At 40.3% G+C, this 12,800-nt stretch overlaps 1 annotated feature.

Annotated features, from left to right (window-relative positions):
• Positions 11,340 to 12,539: an enhancer, noted in NCBI's record as "MED14-independent group 3 enhancer chrX:86520149-86521348 (GRCh37/hg19 assembly coordinates)". NCBI's record gives its function as "activates an origin of replication core promoter dependent on BRD2, BRD4, P300/CBP and CDK7 cofactors, and independent of MED14, by STARR-seq in HCT116 cells {active_cell/tissue: HCT116}" and the evidence as "EXISTENCE:reporter gene assay evidence [ECO:0000049][PMID:35650434]".

Genomic DNA, 12,800 nt, shown 5'->3' on the forward strand with positions numbered 1-12,800 from the left:
CTGTGCTGGCAGTGAGAATTTCAAGCCAGTGGATCTTAACTTGCTAGGCTCCATGGGGGGTGGGACCCGCCGAGCCAGACAACTTGGCTCCCTGGCTTCAGCACCCTTTCCAGAGGAGTGAATGGTTCTGTCTCGCTGGCATTCCAGGTGCCACTGGGGTATGAAAAAAAACTCCTGCAGCTAGCTCAGTGTGGCCACCCAGTTTTGTGCTTGAAACCCAAGGCCATGGTGGCGTAGGCACAGGAGGGAATCTTCTGGTCTGCAGGTTGTAAAGACCATGGTAAAAGCACAGTATCTGGGCCAGAATGCAGCGTTCCTCACAGGACAGTCCCTCATGGCTTCCCTTGGCTTGGAGAGGGAATTCCCAGGCCCTTTGCACTTCCTGGGTGAGGTAACACCCCAACCTGCTTTGGCTCACCTTCTGTGGGCTGCATCCACTGTTCAACCAGTCCCAGTGAGATGAACTGGGTACCTCTGTTGGAAATGAAGAAATCACTCACCTTCTCTGTCGATCTCTCTGGGAGCTGCAGACCAGAGCTCTTCCTATTTGGCCAGCAATCTTTGCTGTTCTGCACCCTCCTCTGGTGATACCTAGGCAAACAGGGTCTGTAGTGGACCTCCAGCAAATTCCAGCAGACCTGAGGCAGAGGAGCCTGACTGTTAAAAGGAAAACCAACAAACAGAAAGAAATAGCATCAACAACAAAAAGGACGTCCACTTAGAGACCCCATCTGAAGGTCACCAACATCTAAGACCAAAGGTAGATAAATCTACGAAAATGAGGAGAAACCAGTGAAAAAAGGCTTAAAATTCCCAAAACTAGAATGCCTCTTCTCCTCCAAAGGATTACAATTCCTCGCCAGCTAGGGCACAATACTGGACAGAGAATGCGTTTGACTAATTGACAGAGATAGGCTTCAGAAGGTGGGTAATAACAAACTCCTCCAAGCTAAAGGAGCATGTTCTAACCCAATGCAACATAGCTAAGAACCTTGAAAAAAGGTTAGACAAATTGCTAACCAGAATAAACAGTATTGAGAAGAACTTAAATGAACTGATGGAGCTGAAAAACACAGCAAGAGAACTTCAGGAAGCATACACAAATATCAATAGCCAAATCAATCAAGCAGAAAAAAGGATATCAGAGATTGTAGATCAACTTAATGAAATAAAGTGGGAAGAAAAGATTAGGAAAAAAAAGAATGAAAAGGAAAGAACAAAGCCTCCAAGAAATATGGGACTATGTGAAAATACCAAATCTACGTTTGTTTGGTGTCCTTGACAGTGACAGAGAGAATGGAACCAAGTTGGAAAACACTCTTCAGGATATTATCCAGGAAAACTTCCCCAACCTAGCAAGACAGGCCAACATTCAAATTCAGGAAATACAGAGAACACCACTAAGATACTCCTTGAGAAGAGCAACCCCAAGACACATAATCGTCAGATTCACCAAAGTTGAAGAGAAGGAAAAAATGTTAACAGCAGCCAGAGAGAAAGGTCGGGGTACCCACAAAGGGAAGCCCACCAGACTAAGAGTGTATCTGTCTGCAGAAACCCTACAAGACAAAAGAGAGTGGGGGCCAATATTCAACATTCTTAAATAAAAGAATTTTCAACCCAGAATTTCATATCCAGCCAAACTAAGCTTCAAAGCAATGGAGAAATAAAATCCTTTACAGACAAACAAATGCTGAGAGATTTTGTCACCACCAGGACTGCCTTACAAGAGCTCCTGAAGGAAGCACTAAACATGGAAAGGAACAATTGATACCAACCACTGCAAAAACATACCAAATTGTAAAGACCATTGACACTATGAAGAAACTGCATAAGCTAACGGGCAAAATAACCTGCTAGCATCATAGTGACAGGCTCAAATTGATGCATAACAATATTAAACTTAAATGTAAATGGCTAATTGCCCCAATTAAAAGACACAGACTGGCAAATTAGATAAAGAGTCAAGACCCATCGCTGTGCTGTATTCAGGAGATCCATCTCACATGCAAAGAAACACATAGGTTCAAAATAAAGGGATGGAGGAAGATTTTCCAAACAAATGGAAAGCAAAAAAAAAAAGCAGGGATTGCAGTTCTAGTCTCTGATAAAGCAGATTTTAAACCAACAAAGATCAAAAGAGACAAAGAAGGGCATTACATAATGGTAAAGGGATTAATCCAACAAGAAGAGTTAACTATATTAAATATATATGCTCCCAATACAGGAACACCCACATTCATAAAGCAAGTTCTTAGAGACTGACAAAGAGACTTAGACTCCCACACAATAGTAGTGGGAGACTTTGACATCCCACTGTCAATATTAGACAGATCAATGAGACAGAAAGTTAACAAGGATATTCAGGACTTGAACTCAGCTCTGGACCCAGCAGACCTAATAGACATCTACAGAAACCTCCACCCCAAATCAACAGAATATACATTCTTTTCAGCACCACATCACACTTATTCTAAAATTGACCACATAATTGGAAGCAAAACACTCCTCAGCAAATGCAAAAAAAAAAAAAAAACCACAACAACAACAAAAAAAAAAAAACAGAAATCATAACAAACAGTCTCTCAGACCACAGTGCAACCAAATTAGAACTCAGGATTAAGAAACTCACTCAAAACCACGCAACTACATGGAAACTGAACAACCTGCTCCTGAATGACTACTGGGTAAAAAACAAAATGAAGGCAGAAATAAAAATGTTCTTTGAAACCAATGAGAACAAAGACACAATGTACCAGAATCTCTGAGACATATTTAAAGCAGTGTTTAGAGGGAAATTTATGGCACTAAATGCCCACAAGAGAAAGCAGGAAAGATATAAAATCGACACCCTAATAGCACACTTAAAAGAACTAGAGAAGCAAGAGCAAACAAATTCAAAAGCTAGCAGAAGACAAGAAATAACTAAGATCAGAGAAGAACTGAAGGAGATAGAGACATGAAAAACCCTTCAAAAAATCAATGAATTACAGGAGCTGGTTTTTTGAAAAGATTGACAAAAAAGACTCCTGGCCAGAATAATAAAGAAGAAAAGAGAGAAGAATCAAATAGACACAGTAAAAATGATAAAGGGGATATCACCACTGATCCCACAGAAATACAAACTACCATCAGAGAATACTATAAACACCTCTTTGCAAATAAACTAGAAAATCTAGAAGAAAGGGATAAATTCCTGGACACATACACCCTCCCAAGTCTAAACCAGGAAGAAGTCGAATACCTGAATAGACCAATAACAAGTTCAGAAATTGAGGCAGTAATTAATAGCCTACCAAACAAAAAAAATCCAGGACCAGACGGATTCACAGCTGAATTCTACCAGAGCTACAAAGTGGAGCTAGTACCATTCCTTCTGAAACTATTCCAAACAATAGAAAAAGAGGGAATCCTCCCTAACTTATTTTATGAGGCCAGTATCATCCTGATACCAAAACCTGGCAGAGACACAACAAAAAAAAGAAAATTACAGGCCAATATTTCTGATGAATATCGAAGCAAAAATCCTCAATAACATACTGGCAAACTGAATCCAGCAGCACATCAAAATGCTTATCCACCACGATCAAGTTGGCTTCATACCTGGGATGCAAGCCTGGTTCAACATACGCACATCAATAAATGTAATCAATCACATAAACAGAACCAAAGACAAAAAACACATGATTATCTCAATAGATGCAGAAAAGGTCTTCGACAAAATTCACACCCCTTCATGCTAAAAACTCTCAATAAGCTAGGTATTGATGGAACATACCTCAAAATAATAAGAGCTATTTATGACAAACCCACAGCCAATATTACACGATATTGGCAAAAGCTGGAAACATTCCCTTTGAAAACCGGCATAAGACAAGGATGCCCTCTCTCACCACTCCTATTCAACATAGTATTGGAAGTTACTCCTATTCAGCATAGTATTGGAAGTTCTGGCCAGGGCAATCAGTCAAGAGAAAGAAATAAAGGGTATTCAATTAGGAAAAGAGAAAGTCAAATTGTCTCTGTTTGCAGATGACATGATTGTATATTTAGAAAACTTCATTGTCTCAGCCCAAAATCTCCTTAAGCTGATAAGCAACTTCAGCAAAGTCTCAGGATACAAAATCAATGTGCAAAAATCGCAAGCATTCCTATATACCAAGAACAGACAAACAGAGAGCAAAATCATGAGTGAACTCCCATTCACAATTGCTGAAAAGAGAATAAAATACCTAGGAATACAATTTACAAGGATGTGAAAGACCTCTTCAAGGATAACTACAAACCACTGCACAAGGAAATAAGAGAGGACACAAATAAATGGGAAAACATTCCATGCTCATGGATAGGAATAATCAATATCATGAAAATGGCCATACTGCCCAAAGTAATTTGTAGATTCAATGCTATCCCCATCAAGCTACAACTGACTGTCTTCACTGAATTAGAAAAAACTACTTTAAATTTCATATGGAACCAAAAAAGAGCATGCATTGCCAAGACAATCCTAAGCAAAGAGAACAAAGCTGGAGACATCATGCTACCTGACTTCAAACTACACTACAAGGCTACGGTAACCAAAACAGCATGGTACTGGTACCAAAACAGAGATATAGACCAATGGAACAGAACAGAGGCCTCAGAAATAACACCACACTTCTACAACCATCTGATCTTTGACAAACCTGACAAAAACAAGCAATGGGGAAAGTATTCCCTATTTAATAAACAGTGTTGGGAAAATAGGCTAGCCATATGCAGAAAACTGAAACTGGACCCCTTTCTTACACCTTATAGGTAAATTATCTCAAGATGGATTATAGACTTAAACTTCAGACCTAAAATCATAAAAACTGTAGAAGAAAGCCTAGGCAATGCCATTCAGGACCTAGGCATGGGCAAAAACTTCATGACTAAAACATCAAAAGCAATTGCAACAAAGGCCAAAATTGACAAATGAGATCTAATTAAACTAAAGAGCTTCTGCACAGCAAAAGAAACTATCATCAAAGTGAACAGTAACCTACAGAATGGGAGAAAAATTTTGCAATCTATCCATCTGACAAAGGGCTAATATCTAGAATCTACAAAGAACTTAAACAAAGTTACAAGAAAAAAACAAACAACCCCATCAAAAAGTGGGTGAATGATATAAACAGACACTTATCAAAAGAAGACATTTATGCAGCCAACAAACATACGAAAAAAAGCTCATCATCACTGGTCATTAGAGAAATGCAAATCAAACCACAATGAGATACCATCTCAAGCCAGTTAGGATGGTGATCATTAAAAAGTCAGGAAACAACAGATGCTAGAGAGGATGTGAAGAAATAGGAACGCATTTACACTGTTGGTGGCAGTGTAAATTAGTTTAACCATTGTGGAAGACAGTGTGGCGATTCCTCAAGGATCTAGATCCAGAAATACCATTTGACCCAGCCATCCCATTACTGGGTATATACCCAAAGGATTATAAATCATTGTACTATAAAGACATATGCACACGTATGTTTACTGCAGCACTGTTCACAATAGCAAAGACTTGGAACCAACCCAAGTGCCCAACAACGATAGACTGGATAAAGAAAATGTGGCACATATACACCATGGAATACTATGCAGCCATAAAAAAGGGTGAGTTCATGTCCTTTGCAGGGACATGGATGAAGCTGGAAACCATCATTGTCAGCAAACTAACATAGGAACAGAAAACCAAACACCACATGTTCTCACTCATAGGTGGGAGTTGAACAATGAGAACACATGGACACAGGGAGGGGAATATCACATACTGGGGCCTGTTGGATTGTAGGGGGCTAGGGGAGGGATAGCATTAGGAGAAATACCTAATATAGATGGTGGGTTGATGGGTGCAGCAAACCACCATGGCACGTGTATACCTATGTAACAAACCTGCACATTCTGCACATGTACCCCAGAATTTAAAGTGTAATAATAAAAAAATTATATAGGTGGCAGAAATAGTAATAAATATCATCTGAGCAATGCAAAAAAAATTCATTTGTCCCCTTATGTACAGTGTGTATTTTATTATGGCTTGTAGGGTTGACCTTACTCTATTTTGCTGCCTCTATTAGGAGCATATAGCTGCTGGCCCATATTCCCACTTGGGTATTGTAGTCCCAACAGGGATTTTGTTGGGAAACAACTGTAGTCCCTTCAGTGTGGGTAGCATTTGCCAGGTGTAAGTCATCCCCACAATAAATTGCTGCTTTCACAGTTTCTGTTTTCTCTCATTTGAGGGCTTCTCCCCTCCAAAATTTATCTTCATCCAAGATAATCTAAATGTTAAAAGAAAATTGGAAGCCCTCCTTTAGCTTCTTGGGGTCTTCCAAGAACTTTCCTTGGTTTTCCTAATTTGCCAAAGGTCCTGCATGAAAAATGGGAACTGGACCTGGACCTGGATGGGTCTGAATGGGTCTCTTACCTCCTGTAATGGGCAGGGTCTGGAGGGAGAAATAAGGAGCCCAGTGTAGGGTAGGGTCAATTCCAAAGGTCTGGGAGTGGCATAAATAGGGGAAGGAGCCTAATTTGGCCTCTGGAAGAGGAGGCAGTTTTTCCCTTTGGCTTCTGGAAGAGATATATCAGAAGGTATTCAGCAGGTAAGTGTCCAAGGCCTCCTAATGGAGAGTCCTGGAGCAGGTGGCTAAGCATAGCTAGGATGATGAAGTCTGCCTTACAAGCTTTACAAGGATTAAGGTCTTCCCTCCAGGTTATGAAGGTTTATAAATAGGCCCTGACTATTTGCCCTGATGGTGGCAGAAAAGGTCCGGCTGGAATCAGAAGTTAAACAAGATGGCTGAATAAAAAAGCTTCAATGATCATACCCCCCCACCAGAAATACACCAAGGCAAAATCCACACAGAACAAAAAAAAACAAAAACAAAACAAAACAAAAAACAACCTTCATAAGTACCAAAAATCAGGTAAGCACTTATAGTACCTGGTATTAAATTCATATCGTTAATAAAGAAATTGAAGAGATAAAAAAAAAAGTCCTGAACTGCCAATACCCTTCCCACACCCATAAGGGCAGTGGCCTGGTGTAGAGAGCATCTCTGGGTGCTGGGGGAGAGAAAAGACAGCAATTGTGAGGCAGTGAACTCAGTGCTACCCTGAAAGAGCAGATAGAAACACATGACCAAACTCAGTTGAGGCTTGCCCATGAAGGGAGCATTCAAACCAGCCCTAGCCAAAAGGGAATCACAAATCCCAGTAGTCTAAACTTGAGTGCTTGCAAACCTCACCAGCAAGGACTACAGCACGCTGTGTCTCCAAGCAAACTTGAAAATTAGTCTAGGCCATAAAGACTGCAGCTCTTAGGTGAGTCCTAGTGTTGAACTAGGCCAAGAGACAGTGGATTAAGAGGGAATGCAACATATTGAAAAAACAGCTGGGGCAGCCAAGGGAGTGATGGCAGTACCACTCTCCTAATCCCAGGTTGCACAGCTCATGGATCCAGAAGAGACCCTTTCTTTCTGCTTAAGGAGAGGAAAGGAAAGAGGAGACTTTGTCTTGCATCTTGGATGCTGCCTCATCCACAGCAAGATAAGGCACTAGTCAGAGTCATGAGACCCCTGTTCCAGGCGCTAGCTCCAGGACAACATTTCTAGATACACCCTGAGCCAAAGGGAACCCACTGCCTTGAAGGAAAGAACCCAGTCCTACCAGCATTTATCAGCTTCCAATTGAAGATCCCTTGAGCCCTGAAAAACCAGAAGCAATACCTAGGTACTACATTAAGGGCCTTAGTGAGCTTATGAGACTCCTGGCTTCAGGTGAGACTTAGCAAGTTACCAGCTGTGGTGGAAATGGGGCAAAACTCATTCTTCATTAGAAAAGCAGAGGGTACAGTAAAGGAGACTTTTTCTTGCACCTTAGGTACCAAAACTGCCACAGGATGATAGAGCACCAAGCATGCTCTTGGGGTCTTCAATTTCAGGACTTTATTCTTGGATGACATTTCTGGACCTGCCCTGGGACAGAGGTGAGCTCAGTGCCCTGAAGCATGAGTCGCAGGCCAAGCAGAATTCATGACAAGTGGATATAAGAGACGTTGGGCCTTAAGGGAAAATCAGTGGTAGTCTGGCAGTACTAATGGCCTGGGATGATGGTGGCTATGGGATGAAGCTCCTCCGCCTTTGGAAAGAGGAGAAAAAAGTGGGAAAGAGTGCCACTTGTGTTATGGTTTGGGTGCCAGATAGGATGGCAATACAATAGAAAAACAAGTCGACTTCTACAATTTTTAGATTCTAGTCTCTAACTCCAGAACAGCACTTCTTGACCCACCTGGGGCCTGGGAAACCTTGCTGCCCTAAAGGGAAAGACACAGGCCTGGCTGGCTTTGTCACCTTCTGATTGTAGAGCTTCACAGCCTTGAGTGAACATAGGCAGTAGCCAGGAAATGGTTACAGCAGGCCTTGGGTGAGACAGTTCTGTGCTGGCTTCAGGTCATCCTAAGCAAGAATAAAACTTTAGGAATCACATTACCCAACTTCAAATTATACTACAGAGCCATAGTAACAAAAACAGCGTGGAACTGGCATAAAAAACAGAAAAATAGACCAATGCAGCAGAACAGAGAACCCGGAAACAAATCCACACACCTACAGTGAACTCATTTTTGACAAAGATACTAAGAACATATACTGGGGACAAGATAGTCTCTTCAATAAATGATGCTGGGTACACTGGCTATCCATATGCATAATAATCAAACTAGACACAAAAATAAAATCAAGTAAACTAAAGATATAAATTTAAGAACTGCAACTATTAAACTACTACAAGAAAACTTCAGAAAAAATCTCCAACACATTGATGTGGGCAAAGATTTTTTTTTAGCAATTCCCAACAAGCACATGCAACAAAAGCAAAAATGGACAAATGAGATCACATCAAGTTAAATAGCTTATGCACAGAAAAGGATACAATCAACAAAGTGGAGATATAACCCACAGAATGGGATAAAATATTTGAAAATTACCCATGTGGCAAAAGATTAGTAAACAGAATGTATAAGTAACTCAACCAATTCTAAATGAAAAAGTCTAATGATTTCATGAAAAATGGTCAAAAGATTTGAATAGACATTTCTCAAAAGAAGATATGCAAATAAAAACAGGCATATGAAAACAGTCTCAACATAACTGATCATCAGAGAAATGTAAATCAAAACTTCAATGAGATATCATCTCACCCCAGTTATAATGGCTTATATCAAAAAGACAGGCAATAAATGATGGTGGGGATGTGGAGAAAAGGGAACCTTTGTACACCGTTGGTGGGAATGTAAATTAATTCAACCACTATAGAGAACAGTTTAGAAGTTCCTGAAAATACTAAAAGTTGGTCTACAATATGATCCAGCTATCCCACTACTGGGCATATATCCCAAAATTGAGAAATCGGTATATTGAAGAGATATATCCAGTTCTATGTTTTTTGCAGCACTGTTTACAATAGCTGAGATTTGGAAGTAACATAAGTATCCATCACTAGATGAATGGATAAAAAAATGTGGTACATAAACACAATGTGTTAGTATTCAGCCATAAAAAAAGAATGAGATTTGGTCCTTTGCAACAACATGGTTGGAACTGGAGATCATTACGCTAAGTGAAATAAGCTAGGCACAGAAAGACAAACATCGGATGTTGTCACTTATTTGTGGGATCTAAACTCATGGATATAGAGAATAGAAGGATGTTCACCAGAGTCTTGGAAGGTTGGCTGCGTGAAGTGGGGGAAGTTTAATGGGTGTAAAAAAAAAAGTAGTTATAAAGAATAAATAAGACCTACTATGTGAAAGCACAACAGAGTGGCTATAGTCAATAATAACTTAATTACACATTTTAACATAACTTCCATAGTGTAATTGGATTGTTCATACCTCAAAGGGTAAATGCTGCAGGGGATGAATACCCCATTCCCCTTGATGTTCTTATTTCATATTGTATGCCTGCTTCAAAACATTCCGTGTATCCCATAAATATATACACCTACTATGTGCCCACGAAAATGTTAAAGAACATTAAAAATTAAAAAAAATATGAATAGGTTCTGCTGGAGGATGCTATTAAAATTTATACTTTCTTTCTCTGGCCTTCTGATTCTAAAATGGAAAAGTGTTTTTTATTTTAGGATTTGTGGGTCAAATTTATCCCCAGTCTTAAGGATTTATCCAAGTGTTGAGCCCCAGGGTATAGGGGTATGATTACCCATCTGTAAAACAAAACAGAGCAGAGGAAGGAAGAAGAAAGAGTCCTTTCTTGTTCCCCTTATACCATAGACAGGATTGAATAGGGCATCTTCCATACATCCTGGGCTTTCAAATTAAACTGCTGCTTACCAGGTACCCCTAACCTTGGTACTTCATTGTCCTTCTAGGGCAAGCCTTCATCTGTGTCCTAATGGTAATCTGCTCTGCACTTATGGCTTCTAGCTGGGCTGTACCTTTAACCCCATAACCTTACAGTCACTCTCATTTGTAGCTTCCAGTAATGAAATGGTTTTCAATTCTTTCATATTCCCATTTCTCATGTCCCTGTAGGTACGTAAGGACCTTATCCTCAGCCAGTAGCTGTAAGAGAACTGGGCATTTCTTTCCTAGATACAGCACTTGAGGTCCTGGTGCGTGTTGTGAATGGCATGTGTCCTGGTGCACGTTACAAACGGCAGAGGAGTGGAGAAAAGCCTGCATTTGAGTCCCCATCATTGCCAATGTGGGTTCTTGGGGAAGCATGCAAAACAAGTATTTAAAAAGCAGGACAATTTCTCTGAGATTGGTGGGAATGGGAGAGAATGAAAAAGACATTTGTGAGATGTTTTTGTGCATTCACAAAAATCAGTAGCCCTCAGAACAAAAAGGACAATGCTTATTGGCATTCTTGACATAGAGGAGAAACCACCAGATGGCCAGGAGTTTGGGACAGGAGTCCACAAAAGCTAGAGAAAGAATTGTCCCTCTTCCCAAAGTAGGGATAGCTGTAGAAGGGAGATGGGAGATAATATTAATGGGCCACAGACAGATGCCCTATGGAGGTGAACAAATCACCTCAAGAGCCACTGGAAAACCTGGTCTTATAGTCTAGCAAGAATTAAAAATACATAATAGGTAATAAGGAGTTGGGGGAGTCATGTTCCTCCAAGTGTTAAGCAGAGAAAAAAGTCATGGGATACATAAAGCAAAAGTAGAGAAGCAGCTAACTTGTCCCCAAAAAGAAGCAGAACGGGGTTCAGACTTATTGTGGAGAAGCCAGTTTTAGTTAAGAAAATGAAGGTCTCCAGTCCTTGTTGTGGAGGCTGGTTAGTGAGTGAGAAAATTAGAGAAAGAAGACCTCATGTAAGCAGAGCTAGGCGCCTTCAATTGAGGAAGGTGAGGCACAGAGGGGTCTCACCAAGAGGCAGCAATCTGAGTCATGGCAATAAAATATGTTACTGGTGGCGAGTCTGGGTGGGGTACACAATCCTCAATTCTTGTCTTCTTGGGAGAAATAATTTGGCCAAGAGAAAAAAAAGTTGATTTAAGGCAGAAACAAGAGATTACTGAAGCAAAGAAAAGTACACTTGGAAGAAACCAAGCAAGCAACTTAAAGGATTGAGTGACTTGCTTGATTGTTAGCTCAGGGCTCTTTTAGATTTATAACACTATTTCCTGTCATCTCTCCCCCTGAGAAAGCTGTTGGCTAATCAAAACATGCACAGTGTCTTGCCGGTATCTGGGAGGGTTCTCGTGCACCATATGGTGGTTGAAATTATGCATCTGCTTTCTTGGGGAGATTTGCTCCTACTGAGCTAGTGCTCCCAGAGGAAGGTAATACATGGGTCAAATTCTGCCATTTTGCCCCTTACTACGCATGCCTGGACATGCTCCCAGAGGAAGGAAAAACTTCGCCATTTTGTCCCTTACTTCTCTTACTGTGCATGCCTGGACATGTCCCCAGAGCAAGATCAAAGTTCACCATTTTAAGTTTTTATTGGTAAGTTGTTGCCCATGAGCTCAAGATGTCTCCTGTTTTGTTAGGAAATTTTCCCCTACATGCCATCAGCTGCATGACAATCACCTGATAGTCAACTGACAGTCGCCTGACATTCTTTGGGGCCCTATTCTGTCCTGCTCATATCTGCTTATGCCGTTCCTAACAGTTCTATCAAATATCATCACATGCTACAGAGAAATATTTCATGAAAGGAAGAGTCAATTGATGCAGCAAACTGCATTGCTGTCTTATTTTAAAAAATCGCCACAACCACGCCAACCTTCAATAACCGCAACTGTGATCAATCAGAAAGGTAATACATGGGTCAAATTCTCTCATTTTGCCCCTTACTGCGCATTGATATGAAGTCAAAGTCCTCCAACAGCAAGTCCCTCCACCAGCAAAAATGTTACAATTACATGAAAGCTCATATGATCATTAGCGTTTTTCAGCAATAAAGTATTTTTAATTTTTTGATACATTACATTTGTACATATTTAGGAAGTGCCTGTGAAATTGTGTTACATGCATAGAATAGATAATGATTAAATCAGAGTATGTAGAGTACTCATCACCTCAATATTTATCATTTCTATGTATTGAATACATTTAACGTCCTCTTTTCTAGCTATTTTGAAATATATCATACTTTGATTGTTTTTAACTATAATCACCATACTCTGCTATTTAGATGTGTTCATTCTATCTGCATGATTGTACCTGTTAACTGATCTCTCTTCATTTTCCCTTCAGCCACCCATGCACTCTTCTCAGTCTCTGGTATCTATCATTCTA

The sequence above is a fragment of the Homo sapiens genome, chromosome X (genome assembly GCF_000001405.40).
Source record: "Homo sapiens chromosome X, GRCh38.p14 Primary Assembly".
NCBI lineage: Eukaryota > Metazoa > Chordata > Mammalia > Primates > Hominidae > Homo > Homo sapiens.